Here is a 26,424-nt window from a genome sequence, read left to right as displayed (position 1 = left end):
TGAGGAGGAGCTCAATGGGGGAAGACACACGCACCCCTTCTTTTTTTTTTTTTTTTGAGACGGAGTCTTGCTCTGTCGCCCAGGCTGGAGTGCAGTGGTGCAATCTCGGCTCACTGCAAGCTCTGCCCCCCGGGTTCATGTCATTCTCCTGCCTCAGCCTCCTCAGTAGCTGGGATTACAGGTGCCCGCCACCACACCCAGCGAATTTTTTTGTATTTTTTAGCAGAGACGGGGTTTCACCGTGTTAGCCAGGATGGTCTCAATCTCCCGACCTCGTGATACGCCCGCCTCGGCCTCCCAAAGTGCTGGGATTACAGGCCTGAGCCACCGCGCCCGGCCTACACCCCTTCTTACAAAACACACACGGGCCAGGAAAGTGTGCTGGGGGCTGGGAACAGGCTCGCTGGGGCCCAGGGCACCTCAAGTTCTTAGCCTTTGGGGATCGGTGAGCAAATGACCCTTTGGGGCCTGGCCTCGAGCCCTGACTCCAAAGGAGCTGGGTATACAAGCAAGGCCTCAGACCGCCCCAGGGAGACCAACCGTGTGGGTGGCGCGCCTTGTAATCCTTCTTTGCGGACACTGGGAAGGAGCAGACTCTAAACGTCTGCTTCAAGAACGGAAAGGGAGCTCTACTGCCCACTTCTCCTCTCCTGAGCACGACGCTCTCCCCTGTCCTGCCCGGGACTGTGCTAGGCTGCGGCCTCCGGATGGGGGGCCCTCGCACTGCCAGGGTCAGCTGCCGCAGGCATGCTGGCCTCCCCACGGGGTGCAGCCGCCGTGCATCTGCCCCTCCTCAGGCAAGCAGGTCTCGGGCCCTGGGCTGAGCAGCCCAGAAAGGCACATCGCGCAGCTCTGCTTCTGAGCGTTGCCCTCCCTCCCCCGCCGGGATCTGTGTGGCCGATGTAGGTTTCCGCTGCTCCTGCTCCCGGCAGGGGCTTCCTCCATCAGCCATTCCCCGGCGTTCCTCAACCAGAAACCCACCCCGAGGCCCCTCGCAACTGCAAGCCTTGTTTATCAGCGACTCATGTTCCGCGTGGGCTCAGAGCTGCTGGAAACAGGCACCATAACCTCGGCAGGGCTGAAAGGATTCCAACGCCCCGGCCGCCTCCTGCCTCTTCCCCGTTCTCCCGCCCGCTCCTCCACGGGTGGATTTCCTCACAGGTGTGGGGCTGCTGGCCGTGGGGGCGGCCGCTTCAAAGCATCTACTTGGGAACACTGGCTTTTCCTTTCTTTGAAGCCATCAAAGGGAGGCTGGTGTCCGCCTGGCCCCTCCTCCTCCTGAGCCAGACCCCTGCCCCCACCAGTCCAGGGAAAACAGGCCTCCCAGCTCCCAGCCGACCCTGCAGTGCACAAAATACCAGTGTCCCGATGTGGCTCCTGGAGACCTCATCCGAAGAACAGGAACTAGAGACCCCTCCACCCACCCGCCCACCCACAGGCTGCAAGGATGGTCGCCACGCACTCAGCCTCACAGAGCCACCAGGGGGAGCACCACAGACGGCCCGGCCTGCTGCTGCTGTCCCCAGACCCAAATTCCCTGCCCGGTCCCCAGCGGGCCCCTCTGTAGGCCGGGCTCCTCAGCTCTCAGCCTCCCGCCTCGTGCGGCCACCACGCTTCCCAGAGAGCCTGCAGCCCCTTTGTGCTGAACACCCCTTCACACACCCCTACACACACACAGACACACCCACTCACACTCTCCTCACACCCCATGCCTCACACCCACTCACAGACCCACAGCCACAGCCGTGCACACATACACACTCATGCTTGACACCCCATGCTCACACACACCCACAGCCACACACCCCTGCACACACCCACACTCGCACTCCTACACACCCCATGCTCTCACACACACACGTACATCCGCATACACTCACCCACACACACACACTCCTCCACACGCACACTCAGGTACATTCACACAGCCACACACCCACACCCATCCACTCATGCACCCCTATACACCCACGTGCACGCACACACTCATTTCCCACACCTACCCACACTTACCCACACTCATACATCACATCCCACACACACCCATGCTCTCACACATCCACATGCACACACCCACACTCGCTCACACTACACACACACACACACGCACACCCGCTGCGCACTGGCCAGGCCTCCCCCGGTGTATGTGCCACCTCCCCAGCACCATCCCCCCTCCCAATGATCCTGCCTCCTTGTGAGCTCTGGAGGAAAACCTGCACCTCCCCCACACCATCCTCACACTGCCGTGGAAGCGATGCCAGAAAGAACTGGACTGTGGGGGGTTCAGCCAGTGAAGTGGGACAGGGCAAGCAGCCTGGCTGTGGGAGGGGATGGCCAGCAAGGGCAGAGAGGCAAGCCTGCCAGGGTGGCCAGAGCTGTGTGCCCTGCAGAGCTTCTGAACTGGACATACAGGTCCAGTCCCAAAAGTAGTGTCCAGGGAGCACCCCCAGCAGCCTGTGCCCTCCCGGTTGCTCAGTTAGAGCCAGACCGGGATGGCTCCGCATCACCTGCCGCTCCATTCACCCTTGTCACAGCAGCCCCGATGGGAGACACAGCCTGGCTGACCTTCAGATGCCCTGTGTCCTCTGGAGCGGGGGAGGCTCATGGAGGGCAGGCGGGAGCACGTGGGAACCGGCATGCAGAGGCACACTCAAAGTCCCTCCTTACCTCTCCGACCGAGTTGGACAGAGCTTGGACTATCTTCTCGTGGGCTGTGGCCACCACGCTCTGCCCGTTGATCTCGATGATGCGGTGGCCCACACGGACGCCCCCTCGCTCAGCAATGCCCCCTCTCATGAGGCTGCAGATCTAAGCAGACATGGCCAGGTCAGCACACGTGTTCCCGCCACACCCGACAGGCGCTCCACCACGTCCCCAAAGATGGGACATGCAGAGGGAAAAGCGCCACATGATGAATACGTGCACGTGCAATTCGCTGACTCACAGACAGAGATCCTTATGATATGCAGTATGTTTCTTTAAAACAAGAGAGTTAATGCCATGGTGTGTGGGGAACCACCAAGTTTTCTGACTCCCACGGTGGAACCTGTCCCCCAGCTGCACCTCCCCCAGGGCCGCTCCCTTTGTGGTCAGGCTAGAGACTGGTGACACAGCCCAAGGCCACTGCCACCTGGCCTCCTACGGCACAGCCTGGTTACCATCCTGGAAGACAGGCACTTAGCTGATGGGCGGGCGGGAAAGGAGAGGCAGCCTGTCCCCTGGCCACCAGAAAGGTGGGGCATCTGTTCTGTCAAGGGAAGGCTCTGTTTGCCGGATGCCCAAATGGTCTACATCGACAGGGAAGAGTCACTTTATTCCTACATCCCCCCCCCGCCAAGTGACGTAAGGGCATTTTGTGCCAAATATACTGGTTCTGGTTTTGTTGGAGACAGGGTCTCATTCTGTCACCCAGGCTGGAGTGCAGCGGTGGGGGCTTCCATTCCAGCCTAAAAGTGACGCCAAACAGATGGACAGGAGGGCCTGGGAGCGCCTGTGACCACGAGACTGGACAGAATGGAAAACAGGCGCCGTGCACACCCGTGTTCACAGCAGCAGTGTTCACAACAGCCGAGGGTGACAGCACGGACTAGCGGAGAAACAGAATGTGCTCTAGGCCTGCAGGGAAACAGTACTCAGCCCTGGAGAGGAGGGAGAGTCTGAAGTGTGCTACAACACGGACAGACCTCGGGGACACTATGCTGCATGAAACAGGCCAGGCACACGAACAAACACTGTGTGATGCCACTGATATGAGGTACCTGGGGTAGTCAGAATCACAGAGACAAAGTAGAAGTGGGGGGCCGCCAGGGGCTGGGAAGGAGAAATGGGCGGTGGTGCTTAGTGGGGACAAAGTTCCTGTTGGGGAGGAGGAAGACGTGCAGGAGAGCGCAGTGGCCATGGCTGCCTGACATGCAGATGGACTGACTGCCACAGAACTCTGCACTTCAAAATGGCTATGATGCTCGATTTTAAGTTACAGATATATTTTACCACAGTTATTTTTTAAATGAAAACAAAAACCGGAAAAATGGATGTCCAAGGAGAATTAGGACTAGAAGAGAAGGGGGTGGAGAGAGGCAGATTCCATACCGCAAGGCAGCTCCTTCGCCACCCCAGGGCCCTCTTATCCTGGAGAAAGGAGACTGTGCTGAGCCCTGGGAGGAGGCGAGTGGCCTGGGATGGGAGAAGCACAGACTCACCTGTCCCAAACACACATGCGTGTACACACACATGCAGACACAGACAACTGTGAGGGGGCCTCCCCGTCTCCTACACACCAGCACCCAGATTTCTGCAGCTGGCCCATATCTCATCTGACTGCTCGCTCTGGGTGCTAAGCATTGCCACCTGCCACAGGGAATGTTTCTGTGGTCATCAGGGAGAACCGCTGCAGGTCGGGACAGGAGCTGATAGACTCCTAGCCAGGCATCCTCCAGCGCCTGCATATGCTCCCCAGGTGGCCAGGCACATGGAGGCTGAGGGGAACCCCAGTCCCTGCCCACCAGCTCCCGGGATACAAGGTGCCGAGTGGCTGCCCCAGGCCAGCTGGAGCTAGGACTTCAGGCGAAGGGCCTGGCAAGGACGGGAGGACACAGGTGAGAGCTTCACTGGGCATGGTGGGGATGGGGGTGCCCAGAGAGGTGACACCAAGGGAAGCGCCCCACTGCTGCAGGGCCGGGGACAGCAGGAGCCCGGGGTTCCAGGCTCCTGAAAGTAGAGGCCAGGGCCCTTGGGACTGCGGGTCCTATCCTGAGCACGCTGTGAGGGACGAGGGGCTTGGACCAGAGTAGCCAGCACCCTCGGGTCTCCTGAATGTTATCCCAGGCTCATTGCTCCCTGGAGGTCCCGGCTGGGCAGTGGAGCCCCAGTGCACCTCAGCCAGGCAGATGCCTGGACATGGCCCTGGGGTGGATGAGCCCTGGCCTGCAGGGGCACAAGTGGCAGCCACTGTGACAGCCTCTGTGTCTAGGTGCACAGAGGGCCAAATGGGGACAGCCAGACCCCTACCCTCAACCCCCACCATGACCACGGGCACTCATGGAGCAGGTGCAGAGGGTGTGGTCCGCACCTGGGGGCCTGAAGGGCCCGGTGTTTACCGCCAGGCAGCCGAGCCACTCAGAGATGGTGACTGATCCATATGGCCGCCTGCATGCCATTTTCTGGATCACTGGGGAGATGGATCATAACCATGCCTATTCATTTGCTTCATCTAACCCTCCCTGGCACTCTCAGGGTGAGCTGTCCTGTATCCTGGAGAAAGCCCCTGACAGCCAGCATTTGCCCCTCTCCTCGGCTGCCAGCATCTCCCCTGCATCCTGAGCACTGAGGCCTCAAGGAAGTGGGACCCCATTTCACAGACAGGGAGGCAGAGCCAGAGGGTGGAACAACAGCGCATCCACAAGCAGGGCTGGGACCTCCAGACCCTCCTCGTCCCCAGTCGTGACCCAGACCACCCCCCAAGTTTCACAGACGCTTGGCCCCCTCCATCACTCCGGAACTCAGACCCTAGACCCAGGGCAGAGACACCGAGCCGTGGGTGGCACCCTCTCTTTCGTATTGCCACCCCGGAGATGTTGTCTTCAGAATTGCACATGACTCCTTCCTCACTGCAGGCCCCGCAAGTCTGCTGCTGCCCTCAACCCTGCACCCCCTGATCTTCTGAGAAACCCCCTTCCGCACCACCACCCTCAGCTTCCTGGCCACTCGGACCCACCTTGCCCCATCTTTGGGAGCTACTCCAGACCCCTCTGCACCTGCCCCAGAAGGCAGCTGGAGCGAGCCCTGGTCCCCGTCTGCTGCCCTCCGCCTTGACTTCACACCTGCCCATTGCACTCTCCAGCTCTCTGGGAAGAAAGGCACAGAACCCTGCACCTGGGCTTGGCTGGGCTGCTCCAGGCTGTCCCCTCCTTTCCCATTCATGTTAGCCCCCACAAAACACAAACCGGAGTCCTTCCCTTCCTCATCTCTTCTCCCCCTCTCCCCACCAGTGCTCCACATGGCTGTGTGACCTGGGGCAAGTCACTAAACCTCTGTGTGCCCCAGCTTCTCCAGTTCCTGTGCTCCTCATGGGGTTATAGTTTGGGGAAGACCAGCAGACTGAGGGGGCATCAAACTCATCCCGGGCAGGGCTATATTCACAGGCCCTACGAGTAGGTAGCCCCCAGGCCACCCCATGGTGGGGAAAGCCAGCCTCTCCTGCAGGGCTCACAGCGACAGGGCTGTCAGTGAGCAGCACTGGCCACCAACCCAGGCCCACCTGCCTCCTAGGCTGGGCAAGGGGGTGCAGGAACAGGACAAGCAGCTCCCCAGTGCCACTCAGGAGGCAAAGGCAGTGTGGTCACCAGGTTTAGCCAGGCAGGGGCAGCCCAGGGGACACCATACAGCACCCCAGGCTCTGCACAGCACGGCTCCTCATGAGGGCTGCAGGGCTGTCAGTCCCCAGCTTCCTCCACTGTCCCCAGTGCTGGGGTGGGAGGCACACAGGCAGGGCCTGGTGATGGTCGGGGGTGCAGTAGCCCAGAAGGATGTCCCAGCCCTCCTCCCTGGGGCCCAGCCATGCCCATCCACAAAGTGCGCACAGCAGCTGCAGACAGGGCTCCAGCTGATTTTCTGCAGAGCCCCCAAATTAGCTGGGGCAACTGCTTGTGCCCAGGTCACATGTGTGCAGAGCAGTCAGGCAGAGCCGGACCAGGCCAGACCACCAGCTGGCGAGCTCCTGCGGCAGGCGCACTGTCCTGAAGTCCCAAGTGGGGTGCAGACAACTCGTCCTGGCACCTGTGCCAGGTCCAGGGGCCACGGGGCCTCCTCCTTGGCAGAGACGAGGACCAGCGGGCCCACCTTGGATAGCTTGGGGTACTTTATGGATTTTCTCAGCTGATCTTCACAAGCACCTTTTGAGGGGAATCCAGTGAGCGTTCAGTGACTTGTTGAGGGTCACACAGCAGGGAAGGTATGGCTGACGCTGGCGATGCCCCTGTCCCTCTTCGTTCTGGGCACCAGCTGGCCCCCACTTCCCAGCCTCCCCATGGGTCCGTGGCTGAGCTATCTGGCCAGTGGGCTGTGGGCAGAAATGACAAGGGCCACTTCTGCCCTGGCCCTGAAAACCTTCACAAGGTCTTCTGAGCTGCCTCTCTTCCTGCAGTGCCAGCGAGACACAGAGCACCCAGTGGGGGCTGCCAAAGCCCAGCTGAGGGCAGAGCCTGGGCCCCTGAGTGGCTTTGTGGAGTGAAGCTCACCCCCACCGCCCCCACTGCAAATTAAACTGCAGCATGAATAAGCAATAAGCTCTCAGTATATGGAGATTTGCAGACTCTTTTTTATAGCAGCAAATTTGCTCTGACACAGCAGGGTCAGAGATGGACCCTAAACCCAAGCCCTGGGACTCCACCCTGACGGTGGGTGTAACCCTCCATGCTGCTTCACCAGAAAACAATGGAGAAGATTTGGTAGTCCTTCTAGAATGTTCTCCCACTGTCTTTCCTGACTGTGGGTGGGCACACACCCTCCCCATCACCTCCACAAAACTCCCACTCCAGCCCGCAGTGTCTCTCCTCCTGGGCTCCTTCATACTCAGGGCTGGTTTAAACAATTTGGGTATTGCCAGCCCTTTTCTTCTTTACTCCACTTAGTGGCCACATCTCTGCCCTCTGGGTCTTTTGCAGGAGGAAAAACAAAGGAAAAAAGAATTCAGGCCAGTCAAATGCAGGTCAGTGAGAGGGTGGAAACTCTGGGCTAAAGAACTCTGGCCTGGGGAACTGGTACAGGTTTTTGGCCAGAACCACACTCACTCAAGCCCAGCATCACCTCCTCCAGGCAGCACTCCTGCCTTCCCATTGCCTGGTACAAAGCCTAACACAGAGCAGGTACTTCACAAATGTCTGCTGAATGGCTGAGTGAACAAGCGAATGATGAGTACATGAATGAATGAATGAGTGAACGTCTGTTTGTTGAGCACAGTAAGTGATGCCACAATTGGTTGTGTCCAAGCTACAGTGGCTGGTGAAGTCTGCTGCCCTCCCTCCAAAGCAGGGGACAACCACCATGGGGACAAGGGAGCCTGGGAAAGGCTGGAGGGGCCCAATCCACGGCCATGCCCTGGCCCTCCCCTTCTAGCCAGGACCTCCCAGAGAGCCATGGAAAGTTCCTGCCCCAGGTGGCCTGGCTGTGGGCAGCTGCAACCACAGGCCAGGTCCTACCAGGCTGCCAGACATAGCCTGCCCCATTGGACGGGAGCTGCTCCCCCTCCCTGGGCCCTGCAGTGGTGGTGGTGGCCCAGAGCAGGAGGGGGAACTCACAATTCCATTCTGCACGCTGAAGCCCAGCTGGTACTTGAGGTCTGGCCGCTTGATAAGGACCGTGGTGACCGGGGGACAGCTGACAATGTTGAGCTTCACCTGTGTCTGGTTCTTCAGGCCCTGCAGAGCACGGGGACAGGAGTCACAGGCTGGGCCTTAGACATCAAGCCTGACCCAGGATGAGCGAGGCTGGCAGGGTGGTGGAGGCCGGGGGCAGTGAGAACACACAATGGGAGAGGCAGGCAGTCCCCTCTCAGCCTCGGTAGCCCCTCTGTGCAGCGGGGACAAGCCTCGCCCTGGCCCTTACCAGAGCTACCAGGTTTCCAGGGCAGCACTGCGCCCTCTGTCCCACCATGCGCAGGGTGCCTCTGCCCTGGGGAAGATTAGCCACTGCAGGAGCGAGCCCAGGTTCTGAGTGCCACTGGGCAGAACCAACGCACCTGGCACCAGGTCACCCTCAGGGTGTCGAGGGGGCCATCATCATGCCGAATTCGGGACAGCTTCCTACGGAAGGATGTGGAGACACCTTCCTCAAAACCCAATGCCCTCCAAGGACGGACCTCCTGCAGGGCAGGGAGTGACCACACAGCAAATCTCTGTGAGTGAGGACGCAATTGTCAGCGGGTGCGCCAGGCCGCCGGGGTCCGGTGGGGGTGAGGAGGCACAGGGAGGAACCCAAGCCTCCACCTGGGAGCTGCAGCCCTGGGAGGGGGGGCCTCAACTGCTGAGCCCTCTGGTGCCACTGGTGGAGGCCTCTCCCATGTCTCTCTGTGTGGCTGCCCATCGGGCAGACGCTCTGCCGGGCCAGCTCCGAGAGCCAGTCTATGGGATGCTCTGGCCTGGGGAATGCCCTTCATCTCTCATGCCGAACAAAGAGGAGGAAGGCGCTTCCTCCAGCACCAAGACCACAGCAGGGTGGGGAGGAACATGCCACAGAGGGCTGGGGGCCAGGCCACAGCTGGGTCACAAGAGCCGCCAGCAGCAGGCAGAACCCATTCCTTCGCAGGCGGCCAGTGTGAAGGCCCCCACCCTAGCTGCCGGTGACCCTTCTGCCTGACCCCTCACAGCGACAGGCAGCACCTCCCAAAGCTGCAAGCTCACGAGTCTGACGGTCAGGGTGGCCTCCTTACTTAAGGGAACCTGCGTCCCAGAACCCAACCCATGCAGGGTGCCCCACCTCCCCAGCCCACCAGCACTGAGGGGGTTTCCCAGAAGCCGGACTTTCAGTGCTAACCTGGCAAAGTCCCAGGCAAAGCAGGATAAGCTGGTCACCCTATACTCACTGGTTCTTGGGCCCTTGCCCAGGGCCACATGGCTCGGTACAGGGCTCAGACAACCCCTCCCTTCCCACCCCAGGCCAGCCCGGGTCCACCTCTGATTCAGACATGGGGAATGGTCTTGAGTTCAAATTCTGATACCATCATCGACCAGTCACCGGGTGGGTCTCCCTGGGCCTCAGTTTCCCCATGGGTGAAGTGGGGATTGCAGTGAAGTGGGGATTGCAGCAAAGTGGGGATGAAGTGAGGCAGGGTTGAGGTGACCCCTGGGCGGAGGATCCCAGGGTGCCTACCTTGATGATGCCTTGGCAGGTGGCGAGGGGCAGCCCCACCAGGCTGGTGCCATTGATGGACATGATCTGGTCCCCGATGCTCAGCTTCCCCGAGCGGGCAGCCGGGCCGCCATTCATCATGTTGGCCAGGATCACCGTGGGCAGGATGGAGCCCCAGCCCGACTCCACCACCACCACGCCCAGGATCTCGCCCTTGTGCTTCTCCAGCTGCAGCTGCAAAGGGATCAGCAGTGTGAGAGGGGCTGGCGGCAAGGACCGAGGCCTCTGCCAAGGACCCACAGGAGGATGAGGCTGACCCTGTCCTGGCACATCCCGCCCTGCCCTGGGATCCAAGGCTGGCTCATCTCAGCCAGGAGAGGTCTTGGGCTGGGAGCCCTGCCCACCCACCCCCAGCCTCACCCCAGTCTGGCTCCCACACCTTCCTGGGGTCCACCCAGCAATCCTGGGAACCTGGAAGCACAGACCCCCTATCCCCACCCGTGCCTGGCATTGACCCCAACCCCACCCGTGCCCAACACTGACCTTCCCACCCCAAGCAGGGCTCCAGTGTCCTGGTTCCTGCTCCTTCCACACCCACAGAGGCCAGAGGAATGTTCTCAGGCTCCCATACCCATATCCTGCCCCCGGCCTTCACTCTTGTTGGAAAAGTCCTTCTACTTTTATTTCCTCTCAAAGGTCACTGTCTCAGAAACTGCCTGGAATGTCTTCAGCAAGAAACCAGGATCATGCATTCACCCATTCAACAAGCAGCAGAGACCATCCACTCATCCACAGCAGACACAATCATTCAGCCATTTAACAAACAGTCCAGGTATGGGCCATCCCCAGGGAATTTGCTCCTCTGCCCATAAGAACTTTCCAAAGTCCCCTGGGGGAAGCCACTGGGACCAGCTAAGGCCTCTGCTACTGGTGGCTTCCAGCCTCCTCTGCCAGAGCCCCCAGGCTCCCTTTAGAGATGCCACATGCTTTTCAGAAATATCTCCTGGGTGCTGAGTGCTGGTTGATGATAATAGCAGCATTAAAAGGCGCATTTTCGAGGTCATTAAAGCTGACTGTAATCAGCTTCTTTGTTACAAACACCTCATTTCACACCCAAGTGCTCAGCTGGAAGGCAGGAGCGAGGTGCACATTCCGGGCCCCACTGGAGTCTGATAGGAAGGCAAGGGTGTGCGTGAGGACCCCGGGAAGGCTCGCTCTGCAGGAGCTCAGGGAGCAGAAGCTGGCAAATGTGGCCTCCCTGAGGCTGGTGGGTGTGGCTTACCTCCTTGCAGTTCTCCGAGTTTGAGAAGTGGATGAGGTCGTCGTTGTACATCTCCTGGGTGTTGATGATGTCGCTGTATTCCTTCTGGCTCAAGTCTTCGGGGTTGATGCCATTGGCTCGCAGGAACTCCTGGTAGGCCACGCTGAAGGCCTGGCCGATAGACTGGGCGATGAGCTGGGCCTGTGCAGAGGGCAGGCCAGCTGGAGACAGGCACGTGGCACAGGCTCCCCGCAGCCTCCTCAGCAGGGGGCTGCGGCAGGGCTGGGTGCAGGATGCACCCATAAGCCTTCAAGGGAGCCCTTGCTCGGGCTTAGAAGAACAAGAAAGAAACTGGGGGCCCTCCCTCATCTGATGAAGGCTGTCTCCCACCAGCACTCCACCGTGAGCGAACCCCAGTGTTGCCCTGAACCCCAAAGGGTCTACTCCTGACTGTCCCTGCCTAAGCTGTGGCACGGCCCAGATGCTCCAGGTCAAAGCTGTTTCAAAGAAAGTCTGGGACAACAATGAATTATTTACTACATGTCATATTTTTGTTGCTTTTTTTTTCTTTCGAGATGAGGTCTGGCTCTGTTGCCCAGACTGGAGTGGGAATGTAGGTGAGCACAACCACATCCAGCTAATTAAAAAAAGTTTTCTTGTAGAGATAGGGGTCTTGCCATATTGCCCAGGCTGGTCTCAAACTCCTGGACATAAGTGATCCTCCTGCCTTGGCCTCCCAAACTGTTGGCATTGCAGGTGTGAGCCACTGCACCTGACCCCATCTGTATTTCCTTTCCACTCATCTGATGCCGAAAATGGACTTTCAGTGTGTTTTCCGGGAGCATCGTGCTGCTAGTTGTCTACCCCGCATGTATTTATCGGTAGCAACAGAACCCAGTGCCCACTGGAGGCAGAGGGTGTGCCTGGCTGCTCTTCTAGGGATGTGTGGCTGTGCCAGGCCAGGCCTGCAAGACATGAGACCTGGGACTCCACACAGGCCCCATGAAGCACGTCACTTCTTTCTACTTCCGCTGAGCTGCTTCAGTGGACATCACCGACTCTGACATGGCAAAGGCCTGGACACTGAAACAGCACTCAGGGCCTGGCCGGCCGCCTGCTGGTGCGCAGACAGGAGACAGTGGGAGGTGAGGGCTGTACTGAGCTCCCGGAGCTCGCCAAGCAGGCTGGCAGCTGTGCAGCCCTGGGAGCGCGGCGGGGCTCTTGGCGGCCTTGGTGACGCCTCAGCCCACAGCGGGGCCTCCCGCCAGGCTCTGGGCTGTGTGAGCCCTCCTTATGCGCTGTCCTGCTCCTCACGTGCCTCCCCAACTGCCCTCAAGGGGGTCCTGCACGGGCGCCCCCAGCAAACTCCTACTCAACAGGATCCCAAAACAGGTGAAAACAAGGGCTTTGGCCTCAATTCCCTTCCCACTCTCCACGTGGCAGGATGTAAGAGCAGCAGATGAATGTATGCATTGGGAAAGACAAGCTGGGCCGGATTAGAAGCGCGCAGCAGGCGGCCTGCCCTCCAGCAGGCGTGGAACTGCCCTCCCTGACGGGCCCTAAGCCGTTTCCAGGACTTGCCGGTTCCCACGCCCAGCATCTCTGCCGCGCGCACAGACCCAGCTGGAGGCGCGACGCCCGGGGACCGCCAGATGGCGCCGCCGGGCTGGCCTGCGGAGTTGGCGAGCTGATGGGGCTCGGCAGGAGGGCCGGGGGCAGCGCCCGCGCAGGAGAGGGTCGGGCCTTTGGGAAGAGCGGAGGGCGGCCCCCAGGCCTCTGCTTCTGTCTCCGCCTGACGAGGCCACCTGGCTGGGAAGGACGGCCTGAGAGCCCTGGAGCCCCGGAGGCCCGGCTCCACCACCCACGGCCCTCGGACTCCACTTGGGCTCCCTCGGGCCACCGCCATTCTTCCTCCCCTTGGACGACATCCTCCGCCCCCGCGGAAGCTCCAAGCCCGGGGAGCCGGCTCCGCGGGGCTGCGCCTCCTTCCGGTGTCATCTGGGCCGCTGGTGTGCCGCCAGCCGCCGCCTCCCCGTCACTCCACGCCGGGTACCGGCTGCCTCCTGGGAGGTGTGGGGTTCAGGGGGCTCTCTCTGCGGCTGGCGCTTCAGAGAAGGGGTCGCCCTGCCGGCCCCAACTCGCAGCCAAGCCTGTGGGCGTTCACTGCTGTGAGTCCAGGAGCCCAGCCCAGGCCCCACCTCAGGGCTCAAGCGGCCTCCTGCAAGTGGGCTGTGGGCAGAGCCTGCAGGCGCTGGAGAGGTGGGGAAGAGGAGGCTGCTGTTGCTGGCAGGACCACCCTGCGGCCTCATCTACCCAATACGGCATACCCTGGCTTTAACCCTCCGCATCGGCTGCACCTGGGGGCTCTCAGTGCCCCTTGGAAACTCTCACCAGCTGACTGCCACCCTTCGCCACCGGGCCTGCTCCTGGCCTCATTCCGCCAGTACCTGTGGCCCATCCCCAAGCCAGGTCTCTCACACATCCTCGGCCCTCAGTCACACAGAAATACCCATCCAGGTTTCGAAGGGTCTCCGTGTAGCGGTGGAAGGAATGTGTGAGTGCGCTGTTGAAATGCTCTCTCCCTCCTGTAAATCTGCCATTGCGCCGAAGCACTTCAAGTGGACCCAAGTTCTTAGGAAGAAGATGACTGCGCCAGCCAAAGGTTTGAACCCTGTCTTCAGTTTCCATGCTGTATGTCAGGATCATGACAATATGGGGACCCTTCCCTATTGCCCAGGTCCCTGAGACAGCCTCAAGTCCTTATGTGAAAAAGAACGCCCTGGCCAACTGCCCCTGAAGGATAGATTTTTTTTTTTTTTTGAGACGGAGTTTCACTCTTGTCACCCAGGCTGGAGTGCAATGGCACGATCTCAGCTCACTGCAATCTCCGCCTCCCAGGTTCAAGCAATTCTCCTGCCTCAGCCTCCCACGTAGCTGGGATTACAGGCACGCACCACCAAGCTTGGCTAATTTTTTTGTATCTTTAGTAGAGACTAGGGTTTCGCAATGTTGGCCAGGCTGGTTTTGAACTCCTGACCTCAGGTGATCCACGCACCTCAGCCTCCCAAAAGTGTTGGGATTACAGGCATGAACTACCGTGCCCAGCCATAGATCATATTTTAAAATTTCACTCTGGCAACAGCCACAAAACTGGCTCACCAGCAGCGCCCCCTGCTGGTCTGTGAGTAAGATCAGCCTCCAGGAAGGACAGTTCCTCTCTGAGCTCCCCTCTTGGCCCTGCTGCTCCTTCCTCAGCCCCTCTGTCCCCCTCCAGGCTAAAAACAACACTCTTCTCCAGCCAAGGAGGGAGCCAAAGGGCTTGTGATCTTTTCCTGAGTCTTTGGTATCTTATACTTCAGAATCACTTTTTACTTCCTCTGAAGACCACACGCAAAGGCAGAACTAAGCCTCATGTGCAGATGTGCTTTCTTTATACAGCATGCCAGGGCCATGCGAAAATTTGCATTTTAATAACAAAAGTTATGCAAAGATTAACTTCATTTTTAGTAGAGAAAATGTTTTGTAAAGGGATTTCTTCAAATAGCTCCCTCATATATTTAACCACAACTCAATTTATAAACAGCTCCTGAAGAACCTATTTCAAGAAGTAGAATAAAACTGTATTCACTATCTTTGCAAACCCAAAGAGTATGCAAAAGATCACTGATCCACTGGAAACATCAGTAACAGCATGGAGGCTTTCCACCTGAGGGTGGTTTCCACAGCGCCTGGATCCTGGAGCCGCCCTGGGCTGTGAACTTTGGGAGGGGAGTGCCCTGGCAAGGGCTTACTTACATCCTCCGACTCGAACACATGGCAGATCATCTTATACTGCTTCTTGCCTTCCTGGGCCCCGGGCGTGGTCTCGATGCAGTCCTGAGAGGCTGACCGGGGCATGCGGCGTCTGGCCATCAGCACTACAATGTTCCCAATGTCGGCGATGTAGGAGATGGTACGCAAGGCGTGGTCCATCATGGTTTCCTGTCGGGAGGGAGACAGTGCCACGTCAGGGAACACTACTGGGACAATCCATTGAAAAGTACTCCAGGGCTGGGCATGGTGGCTCAAGCCTGTAATCCTAGCACTTTGGGAGGCCGAGGCAGGCAGATCACCTGAGGTCAGGAGTTCAAGACCAGCCTGGCAAACATGGTGAAACCCCATCTCTACTAAAAATATAAAATAAATAGTTGGGCGTGGTGGCAGGTGCCTGTAATCCCAGATACTCAGGAGGCTGAGGCAGGAGAATCGCTTGAACTGTGAAGGCAGAGGTTGCATCGAGCCGAGATTGCGCCACTGCACTCCAGCCTGGGCAACAAGAGCAAAACTCCGTCTCAAAAAAAAAGAAAGGAAAAAAAAAAAAAAGGCACTCCAATTATTCGGGTTTCGCAACCCTGATTCTCCTGACATTTGGGGCCGGATCATTCTTTATTGTGGAGGGCTGTCATGTGCACTGCAAGGTGTTAGGAGCATTCCAAGCCTCTCCCCAGGAGATGCCAGTAGCACCTCCCTCTTCCCAAGTGTGAGAATGAAAATTATTTCCAGCCATTGCTAAATGTCCCCTGAGGGACAAAAATCACACTGGTTGAGAACCACGGCCCTAATTAACAGAGCGTTTTAGGGTAATGATTTACAGTCAAAGTCACTCTGCCCTCATCTCAGTCCCAGCTTCCAAAATGGACTGTGCAGAACCCAGGGAGGCGTGATGTCAGGTGAGCTCTCGGGCTGTCTCTGCTGGAGCAGGGGCTTGCCATATAGTGAAACCCATACATTCCCGGATGAGAGGCCACCAGTGGCTCTGGAGAAGGGTCCCTTCTGAACGAGGTGCTCTCCTATGGGCCCAAGAGTGGCCTGGCCTGGCCTTCCTGCTGTGCAGAAGAGGAAAGCATCAAGGCCAATGTTTGTCATTCAATGAGCTCTTCCCAGGGAGCCCAAACAGCCTGGGCCTGGGTCAAAAGACACCAAGGTAGCCCACCTGACTTCAATTCCCTCGGCCTCTGGCAGGCCCATGACTCTTGATGGTTTTTTGTCCTTGGACAGGAATCTCCAGCCAGCATCTTGCCCACAACCCCTACCTAACAAGACTGCACACAAAGCTCAAAAAAACTAATCAACTGGTCTTTTATGCTTTTGTCCTCTGTTCACAAAAGAAACTCGAGTGTTTCTGCAACCTCTGGACCTCATTTCTTCCTCACAGAATCCACTTTGCAGTGCATGCTGCTTCACCTTTGTCTCAGCTGCTGACTTTTTTTCTGGCCAAAGCCATGAGGCTGTTTCATAACCACAAGAGTCACCTTCCAGGGAGGGACACTGAAAGGAAACAGTTGGAGTGGCTCTTCAGCATCTCCTGATTTCTGTCACTGTCATAAATGCCTGAATCAATCCCCAGGTGTCAGAAACATGTTCCTTCCCCAGCTCCTATCAATGGCAGATCCCTCCTCCTCCTCACAGAGGCTGCCTACCAACATGGCCGCATCTGCTCTCCTGCTCTGAATGGCTACTTTGGCCTTCCCAGTCTCTCACCTGTTCCCTCCTCTCCAGCTCCTCTGCCCCAACAGCTTTAATTTGCATGCCCTGTCCAGAATCCAAAGATCCAGAAGGGAAAGGAAAGGAAGGGAGAAGGGGCCAGTGGAGTGAACCCTGAACTGGGCCAGCCTAGGAGATTTCTCATCTCTCCTTCACAGGATCCAGCGGAAGAGTTACTCTTTCAGCTGGGGCTGTGGGTATTAGGAGGTTCAGAGATGTTCAGGAACTTGTTTAAGGCTATACAGCTCATGAGGATGGGGCTCAGCTTCAATCCCCAAGCCCATCCTCCCACCCCAGGTGTGGCACCCTCCATGTACACTGGCAAGAAGAGGTACTGGGGCAGGCCTAGCAGCTGTACCCAGAAAGGCCCGCCTGCAAGGCTGGCCCTCTCTGGCATCTGGGAACGTGGATCTCAGGAGGGTACCCAGCACCCGAACTGACAACCATGGTTCCTTTTGCCTAAACCGTTTGTGCAAACAACGTGGTCTAGGCTGGACACCTCTTTTGCCTCTGGGAGTCTGGAATTTTGGTAGCTGCCAGGCAGAGGGTGCCTATGACCAACTCCCAGTAAACACCTTGGGCTGAGTGTCTATGAGCTTCCCTGGTAGACACAACTTCTCTGTTGTCACAGCCCCTTGCCAGGGAGTTCAGTGTGTCCTGTGTGACTGCGGGGAGGGCTCTGGAAGCCTGCATCCGCTTTGCTGATTCTGCTCTGGAGCCATCTGCTGAAATAAATCTCAGCTGTGAGCTCACTGAGTCCTGTCAGTCCTCCAAACCACCCAGCCTGTGGTGGTCTTGGGGACACCCAGCACAGGTGGGTGATGAGGCATGGGGCTCGGAGGGTTGGTGGGGGGATCTAGTCCAGATGGTTTGCCCACAAAAGATCAGAAAATGAAGTCAAAGTCTGTGAAGCGTCGCAAGCCCAGTGCCTGAGCCCTGGCACCTGTCTCCCTGAGTTTTCACCAAGTGCCAGGCTCCAGGAGGGGGCTGGTTCCAGGGTAGGGGGGTGCAGGACACAAAGATCAGTGGGACAAGGTGCAAGCCTGGACACAGGACAGACATGGGATGAGGAAGGGCGCCCCTGTGCCCGTATCAGGGTATGTGAGGGCCTGGAGGATGGTCAGGGCACGGCACTGGGTTGGGAGTGGTGGGCTGCAGTGTGAGCCACATAGTGGGGGCTGCTGCCTCCTCTGTCCCCAGAGGTCAGGCTACCCGGGAGTGGGGAAGCAGGGGAGGGCCCAGGTAGCCCAGCAGGTCTTCCCACCTACCTCCCGCCCGCAGAGCCCTGGGGTGACGCCAGCACGACTGCTACCTGCTGTGCGCTCCTTGCTCCTCCCGCAGCCCGGGCTATGGGCCTTGGGTTGATGGGCGCAGAGAGCACAGGAGAGAAGCTGCTGAGAACGAGGGCCTATACCATGGGACAAGAAGGAGTCGAACTTAGGAGTTTACCTGATTTTGAACAACTGTCTTAAACGCTTACCTGCGTGTCTGCATTTAAAACCTTGATCCTCTGGGTGGAAATGAAGAGGTCCACTTCCGTCAGCGTCTGGGCATCCCCCTCAGAATTCTAAGAAGGACAGTGGATATTGTTAAAGTCCAAAAACCAACTCGGAATAGAGGACATGCAAATAGCATTATGACAAAATGCTCAACATCCCTAATCACCAGATAAATCCAAATTAAAACCACAACAATATATCATTTCATATCTGTCAGAATGGCTCTCGTCAAAAAGATAAAAGATAAGAAGCACTGGCGTGGGGTGGAGAAAAGGGAACCCTGGTACACTGTGGGAGGGTGTGAATCAGTGCAGCCACTGTGGAGAATAGAATGGCGGTTCCTCCAAAAATTCAAACTACAACCACCATGTGATCCAGCAATCCCACTGCTGGGCATATTTCCAAAGGAAGTGAAATCAGCGTGTCTAGGAGACACCTGCACTCCCATGCTCACGGCAGCACTATCCACAACAGCCAAGACATGGGATCAACCCGAAGTCCATTCACGATGAATGGATAAAGAAATGTGGCGCGCAGACACACTGGAGGCCTACTCAGCCTTCACAAAGAAAAAGCCATGTCATTTCCAACACATGGATGACCCTAGAGGACATGCTGTGAAGTGAAATCAGCCAGGCACAGAAAGATAAATACTGCACCATCTCACTCAGGTGGAAGCTACAAATGTCGATCTCACAGAAGTAGAGAGCTGAATGGTGGTTATCAGGGGCTGGGGCAAAGGAGTGAAGGGGGAAGTATTGGTCCACGGACACAAAGCTCCTGCTAGACAGGAGAAATGAGTTCAAGAGATCTATTGTGCATCATGGTGACTACCGTTAATAATATTTCATATTCTTAAAAATTGCTAAGATAGTGAATGAAGTGTTCTCATTACAAAAATTAAAACTAGGTGATGTAATGCACGTTAATTAGCTAGATATAGTCATTTCACAATGTGTATATGCTCCAAAATATTATGTTGTACATAACAAATACATACAATTTTATCCGTCAATGTAAAAAGTAATAACTCGAAGGAAGGCTCGGCAATTTTAACAATTACCCAGAGTCCACGTAGAAGGAAATGCTACTGGCCATCAGAAATCTACCTGCACGCCACCGGCCGCATCATCTAGCTAAGTGTGAGTTCTCGAGGCAGTCTGTAAGAGGCACCTGGGAGGGAGGAGGGCCAGCCCCCGGGAGCTTGACCGAGATGGGGCGGGACGCCTGGGTCTGTCGCCACAGCCCCTCCTGCCAGTGGCAAGCAAGGCCCTCTGGCTGACCCCTGTGGAATTTATAGACTCAGGTTACGTTTCCTGGATTTGGGATTCTAAGTATCCTTAAGAAATGGGGAAGACATTGTCAGAGAAGCTGAATGAAAATGTCAGCCTTTCCTTCTGATTTAATCAGTCACCACCATGTCCATCCCACAGCGTCCTTGGGGGACTGAGCCCTGGGGCTGGCCTAAGTGCTGTCCTCACAGCGACAGAGAGAAGCCAAGAGAGGTGCCACACAAATGGCCTAATTCGTCACCTGTAGCCACTGTAGTATGTCTGGCATATGGTTGTGAGACGAGTTTCATGGGCTCTTCTGAGCTGAGTGAACTCTTCAGAGTCTGCCCCAAACTAGGATAGCCTTTAATTGGTTTTTACATTTGTAAGAATCCTAATTACCACTGCACGGTGGCAATGAATTTCAAGTTCTATTGGTTTGCCCACCGAGGTGAATAATTCTCCGTGGTCACTGGGGAGCCCAGGGTGGTCTATTTTCCATTTCGAAACAGCAAAAACTATGATTTAATTATTCACTAGAAAATCTGAAATAAGAAATCTCCCTGCTGACAATTCCTCAAGAATTTTGAGTTTTAGAGAGGCCCGGTATTGTAATAATAAATGTGTATTTTAGCTCAATTTTCAAGGGAAAGGGTCTTTTGGGCTTTCTTTGCTTTTAACTCATTAGAAAGAGAAAGGAGTTGAAAGCAGTGCAGCTGACAATCCGCAGCCGCGGAGGAACTTTTTCTGTTTTTTAAAATTGGGTTATATTCAGCATCAGCATGCATTTAAAGGTTATATTCATGGGTTGTGGCTCAAAATCCTCTTGCTAAAAAGTAGGTCAAGCCAGAAGTGAGAAAAGTTGCAGGTGGACCTTGGCATTAGTGACAATTGTGGAGGAAACCTGAGGCTGGGATCCCTGGATGGGAGAAGAGGGGCAGCCTGAAGCCACCCAGCCTCCAGTGGAAAACCCATCAGTAACAGGGCAGGGAGAGGACACCCATCATCCTCCTTGGCAGAAGAAGGGAGGGTGTCGACAGTACGGATCCTACAGACACCAGAGAACAGGCCACAGGGTGGGCCTCGGCATGTCTGTGGATGGGGGGCATGACCTGCAGTCATCCCCATGGCTGTGGCCGGGCCAGGAAAGGGACCTTCAGCAATGACACTGAGCATCCCACTTTCCAAAAAGGAAGAACAAACCGTAATTAAATGTAATCAGGCGGCCACCTGACTGGCCGCAGAGGCCTTTTTGAGCTGGGTCTGCCTGTACCAACCCCTCTAAAGGCGGCAGCGACTCTGTAGGATTGCTGGACCTGCAGGTCCCAGAAGCCAGCTGCAGTCCGTAGGGACTCCCTGCTCCAGCTGGACTAGGAGGCTGCAAGCGAGGGCCCCTCTCTTTTGAGAAAAGCACACCCCAACTGCAAGTCTGCAATGTGTGGCACATTCTGCCTTGCCTGGAGGAAATCAGCCCGGGAAGAGGAGCATGAGCATGATCCTTCCTCTCCTGCTCCTGAGCAGAATCAAAGGAGACGCTGCTGGGCAAAAGGCAGACATCCTAGGTGGACCAAAGTCTCACTCCAGAAGAGGGAGTCCCCACATGGGTCTTCTGGCCAAAGCGCCAGAAAATGGCATTACTTCAAAGCAGGGAGGGGGAACTAAATCTCCTGCTGTTTAAACAGAAGAAAACAGTGGGCAATAAGCCAGTGCCAAGGACCCCGGGGTTTGCCCCAGGCCTTGTGACACCAACTATTTTGATATTTTCTGTATGAGGAGGATTGGAAAAGCTCTAGCATTTACTAAATGACCAGGTGACAAACAAATGACTCGATGTCAATCCTTTTTTTTTTTCTTTTGAGATGGAGTTTCGCTCGTGTTGCCCAGGCTGGAGTGCAATGGCATGATCTCGGCTCACTGCGACCTCTTGCCTCCCGAGTTCAAGTGATTCTCCTGCCTCAGCCTCCCGAGTATCTGGAATTACAGGCATGTACCACCATGCCTGGCTAATTTTTTGTATTTTTAGTAGAGACGGGGTTTCTCCATGTTGGTCAGGCTAATCTCGAACTCCCGACCTCAGGTGATCCGCCCGCCTCGGCCTCCCAAAGTGCTGGGATTACAGGCGTGAGCCACGGCGCCCGGCCTCAGTGTCAACCCATTTTTAAAAGTCTGCCAGTGTTTCAACACTTATTTTCTTTTTTTGTTTCTTTTTTTTTTCTTTAAGAGATAGGGTCTCACTCTGTCGCCCAGGCTGGAGTGCAGTGGTGCAAACACAGATCACTGCAGCCTCAAACTCCCAGGCTCAAGTGCTCCTCCCACTTCAGCCTCCCAGGCAGCTGGGACTTCAGGCATGTGCCATCATGACCAGCTAATTAAAAAAAAAAAAAAAGTTGTGGAGACAGGGTTCTCATTGTGTTGCCCAGGCCAATCTCAAACTCCTAGGCTCAAATGATCCTCCTGCCTCTGTCTCCCAAAGTGCTGGGATTACATGTGTGAGCCACAGCACCCAGCCCAAAAACTCATTTCCAATAAAGAAAGCACCACACGGGCAAACTGAGCTACTCACCCTCCTGACTTAGTAAATTAAGCTTAAGGAATCTTTAACTATCAGAACAATTCAGTAATACTGCACAGGAGGCCCAGACCCTACACCCACCACGTTGTCATATCAACTAAATGTCATATCAATTTAAAATGTCCACGTAAAACAGGAACATCACAGCATTATCCATACAGTACACAGGAGATGCTAAGAAAGAAGAATTAATAAATCCTTCCATAAATGGGTGGTTAAAAAAATGAAGTGTCTGTAGTTTCATTTACAAACATCTAAGATTCACCTACCAAGGGAAGAGGAAAAGCTGCTTTGCAACATTATTTAGATCCCCAGGGGAACCCCCCAGCCCCCACTGCCCAGGACAAGCCACGGAAACACAAGCAAACAACACTGTCCCAGGGCCTCAAGGCCCTACACACCGCTTTTTTCTTGATCTTAGCAGCCTTTTGCATCCTCTGACAGCATGGAAGAGAAAAGAAAAACAAGTTGGCACAGAGAGAAGGAAGGTGCGTGAGGTTATGTCACTTTGGTGGTTGATGCCCCCACTCTCAGGTCTGGTGCCTAGCAAAGCCCAGCAGGGACGGGTGGACAGCCATTGCCCACTTCAAGCACACACACTGACCAAGAGAAGCCCACACAGGTGTCCCTGGAGCGCTAGAAATGACTGCCAACCACCCCATCTATGGAGGACAGGAAAGATGCCATCAGCCGGCAGGAAGGGGAGCTGAGCTCCAGGCAGCGGAGCAAGGCAAGGGTCTGGGATGGGAGGGCCGGGCCTCTGCTGAGAGGCACTGGCCAGCAGGGCTCAGCACTGCCCTGGGTTACCTGGCTTTCTCCTGCCCACCCCGGATGGCCTCATGGTGCTTCTCTGCTTCTGTTAGAGGAGGTTGTGTATGGTGAGGGCTGGGGAGGAGGTTGCTGCCATTTCTCACCCCTGGGCTGGCGGGCCTCTGCAGATCCTGTCTTGCTCAGAGAGCTGAGACCTCAGATGGCTGCATCCCCTCCCCGCCGACCCCATTTAATTTTGCTGACGTGGCCTCATCTTCCCCTTGCCCGGCCTCACCCGATGTTCAAAACCAGACAATCCAATGAGCACTTAGAGCTACAAGCAGGTCAAAGTTTTTCTTGAGGTCCTGAATTTAAATAAAACGTGATTTATTTTTCACCCTTTCTTGAAGCACTCTGAATGGCACTAAAAATACACATACTGTTGAACTGGGATTTGGGATTGTTTGATGACTAGAATGCTTTGGAACGATGATCTTTAAAGGTCGTATTTCTGGGATTCCGTGGGCCTCTTGTTAAGGAGCTGGTTGCCTCTGCCCAGCCAGCTTTCTCCCAGCCAAGGCGCAAGCCTCCCTCAGCCTCGTTGGCACCTGGGCCGCTCCTGCCCCCTGTGCTGAGGGCTGTGCAGTCCGAGCTGGAAGAGGGCCTACGCCCCGCCATATTCCCTCCTGCTAGTGCCCCCCAAAGTGTGCGGGCATCCGCGAGGGGCCCTCGAAGCACCTCTACCTTGACCCGGCTGACGGCCTCCTGCGCTTGCATCATTCTGATGTTTTTGGAAGGGTTCCGTTCTGATAGCAGCTGGGTGGACCCCAGGTAATTGGCAGCAAAGATGATCCCGTCGATGAGGTCTTCTGGTTCGCAGGGCCCTGGAACTGAAGGAGGGCACAGAGTCAGAGTCTTCCTAGAGGAGAAGTCCCCTGAACAAAGAACTTGCATGCCTGGCCATAGCACAAGGAACACGGCAGCCAGGATGCGGGGCAAACTAGAAGGGCCCAACCATTGCCATCTGCAGCCAGCCACGGGCGGCCGGTCTGCTTCCCTCACTACCCCGTGCTGCAAGTAACTGCGCGAAATCAACACTTGGGCCAGAAAACTCTGCACAAACAGTGTCAGGAGGACAATGCCAGCATTCCAGTTGACTGTCACTCAAGATGACAATCACAGGCTGCAAATCCAGAAGGCGTCACATCCCAAACACAACAGCACTTTCCATGCCTTCCCCACAGCCCCGGAACTCATGCTGGTGACCTGAAACTGTGCCCTGGGCTTCTCCTTGGCCTGTCCTTGTGCATCTGTCCTGAGGGGCTCCTGCCTGTCTGTAGCCTCTCAGGACACCCGTGTAGCTCCTCACACCCATCACACCGCAGGCCCAGGCTTGGCAACATCATGCTTGTTCCATCTGCTGCCCCTAGACCATCGTGACCCAACAAACTTCCTGCCAGCCACAATGGAAGGTTCTATCTCTGCAGTGTCCAATACAGGATCCGCTACCCACATGTGGCTTTGAGCACTGGCACTGAGGCTCCTGCAGCTGAGGGACTGGACCCATTTCTTGTATGTAATTTTAATTAATTGAAATATAAAGAGCCACATGTTAGAGTCATATCCAACCAACCCCCAAGTCCTGTCCATGTTGCCCACAAACCAATCTTGAGTGGCTCCTATGCCAGACAATAAGGCTCCAGCTAGGGGTGGGCAAACCTTTCCTGTAAAGGGGGAGATGGTACGTGTTTTAGGCTTTGTGGTCTCTGTTGCAACTATTCACCGTTGTACCTGAGGCGTAAAGGTAGCCGTAGACAGTATGTAAAACAGGAGGTGTGGCTGTGTGCCAAGGAAACTTTATATGCAAAATCAGGGGGCCAGGAGGATTTGCGATTGGGGCTGCAGTCAGCCGACCTCTGAGCTATCCTAGACCGTGGCTTGGCTGTCCTCTCAGACCCATGTTGGCCATGTCACCTGCTTTATCCCTCCCGACTGCCCACCTCCTGGCCAGAGCCCCTTCCACTGGGGATTTTGGCCCTGGCTTCCTGGCTCCCCTCCTGCTCCAGCTGGCCCCTCCCTGAGTCCCTCCAGCATCACGGGCCCAGCCATCCTGCACTTCCCCAGCCCTCGCGCCAGCAACCTCCTGACCTCTTCCCTCCCTCAGCCAGCTGATCCCTGGTCTCACCTCTAACCCATTCTGTTGCTAAAATCATCAACTGGCCCAGCTTGGGCGCTGCCATCCACCACTTCAATAACATCCGCCCAGTATCCTCAGTTCCCTGACCCCAGTCCTGTGTATCTGCCCACAGGAGTTCAGCAAATCTCCAACCTGTTTTCTCTGGACCTGAGGCTGGAAAAAGCTGCCCAAGAGGGCAAATGAGTGCCATGATAAATGTATTATAAATTCTTGACCCCAAATGCCCCCCAAACAACCTCACAACTCTCATCTATCTCTCTGGGAAACTCAGACTCTTCCTCCATGCAAGAGTTATTCCAGACCCCTCCACTGCCTCAAACTCCTGGCTGCCCCTCCCTCACCTGCTCAGACAGACCAAGTGGGGAGCTTCGCGTTGGTGCTCAGCCCACTTGGCCCTCCTTCCTGCTTTCCTGGGCAGTAGTGGGTCTGCGTGCCCCTGGGGTCAGAGGATCACCTGTGCTCCCAGCCGTCTCTCCCCACAGGGACCCCCATCCCTCCCCTGTGCATCTAACTGAGTCCTATCAATGGGGTCCTCCCACGGCTTTTAAATATCCTCCATTCACCCCTTGCCCTGGAGCCGATAAACCTTCTCCCAGCTGGGCAGGGCTGCAGGCACCAATGTGGGGGACTGCGGGATTCAGGGGTGGCACCAGGGGAGGAACCCCTGTCCACCTGTCTCTCAGAGGGTACACCGGGATTCTCCTGTCACCAGGAGAATCAGAGGCAGCCCCACAGAGGGAACAGGACCCATCTATCCCAATGCAGTACCCCCACCATACCCTGGCGCTTCTTCAGAGTGAAGTGTGCACATCTGCCTAGCTGGGGGGCTTGGAGAGCGTGTATGACAGCCCTGGCTGCCACAGGCTCGCCAGACATGCCCTGTGCTGCCTTTTATGGCATCTGGCTGTGGGGCTGGGAAGGCTCCCAGCGCCTGAGGTAGGCCTGTTTCTACTACCTCACACCACCTTGCCGTCCCCAGTGAGCATGGCTCAACAGGCACCCCCCAGTGAAGCCCCAGTCACCCAGTGGGGCCCAATGCAGTGGCTCTCATTGACCACTAGATGGCGTCACTTTGTTCTGCAGGAAAGCTCTGGTTCTTCCAGGCGCCCCAGGTACCCCAGCCTCACAGCCCCAGCAGGTGAGCAGGGCCTTGGGCGAGTGTCCTTATGTCCCCTCTGTGGCAGGGGCTGCCTGGCACCCTGTCAGCCCCAGGCCCTGGGGAGGCTGGGAGGCCAGCCCTCCCTTTGGAATCTGACTCCTACCTTTCTAGGCACTGCCCCTTGGCTTCTCCCTCGCCAGCCCCCAGGGTGGCCCTGGTCAGTGCACCAGACCCTTCTGAGGTTCACATTTCCATGTTGACCCATGTCCTTGAGTAGATTTGGGAAAGACTGGCCTCGTCTCCCCCTGAAGTGAGCGTCAGTAGCTCTGGGGCCCATCTGGGCACAGACTGCTGTGTGTGAAGGATGCCCCATCCCAGGCAGGGGGTCACCACTGGCACCCACGGATGC

The 26,424-nt window shown here is 56.4% G+C and overlaps 1 protein-coding gene across 39 annotated transcripts in view, besides 1 other annotated feature; it reads right to left on the bottom strand.

The window, feature by feature from the left end:
* The window catches only part of APBA2 (amyloid beta precursor protein binding family A member 2), a 232,342-nt gene that overhangs the window by 1,632 nt on the left and 204,286 nt on the right, over window positions 1-26,424 (bottom strand). For 17 of the 39 annotated variants that reach the window (NM_001379685.1, NM_001353790.2, XM_011521489.3 and 14 more), the window contains 8 exons: window positions 23,464-23,609; window positions 22,371-22,406; window positions 18,108-18,194; window positions 14,900-15,085; window positions 11,126-11,305; window positions 9,865-10,077; window positions 8,295-8,414; window positions 2,668-2,808 (listed from right to left, as the gene is read on the bottom strand). In NM_001379685.1, the coding sequence (NP_001366614.1) occupies window positions 2,668-2,808; window positions 8,295-8,414; window positions 9,865-10,077; window positions 11,126-11,305; window positions 14,900-15,085; window positions 18,108-18,194; window positions 22,371-22,406; window positions 23,464-23,609 (1,109 nt within the window). Of the gene's footprint in view, window positions 1-2,667; window positions 2,809-7,295; window positions 7,653-8,294; window positions 8,415-9,864; window positions 10,078-11,125; window positions 11,306-14,899; window positions 15,086-18,107; window positions 18,195-22,370; window positions 22,407-23,457; window positions 23,610-26,424 lie in introns of those variants that run through there. The other 22 variants (XM_047432424.1, XM_047432416.1, NM_001353792.2 and 19 more) reach the window with 4 other exon arrangements.
* Window positions 722-1,522: an enhancer, noted in NCBI's record as "H3K27ac-H3K4me1 hESC enhancer chr15:29407365-29408165 (GRCh37/hg19 assembly coordinates)". NCBI's record gives its function as "activates a minimal SCP1, AML or CMV promoter by ChIP-STARR-seq in naive H9 embryonic stem cells {active_cell/tissue: H9 hESC(naive)}" and the evidence as "EXISTENCE:reporter gene assay evidence [ECO:0000049][PMID:30033119]".

This window comes from Homo sapiens, chromosome 15 (genome assembly GCF_000001405.40).
Source record: "Homo sapiens chromosome 15, GRCh38.p14 Primary Assembly".
In the NCBI taxonomy this organism is placed as follows: domain Eukaryota; kingdom Metazoa; phylum Chordata; class Mammalia; order Primates; family Hominidae; genus Homo; species Homo sapiens.
This window is presented reverse-complemented; position numbering and strand designations above follow the sequence as displayed.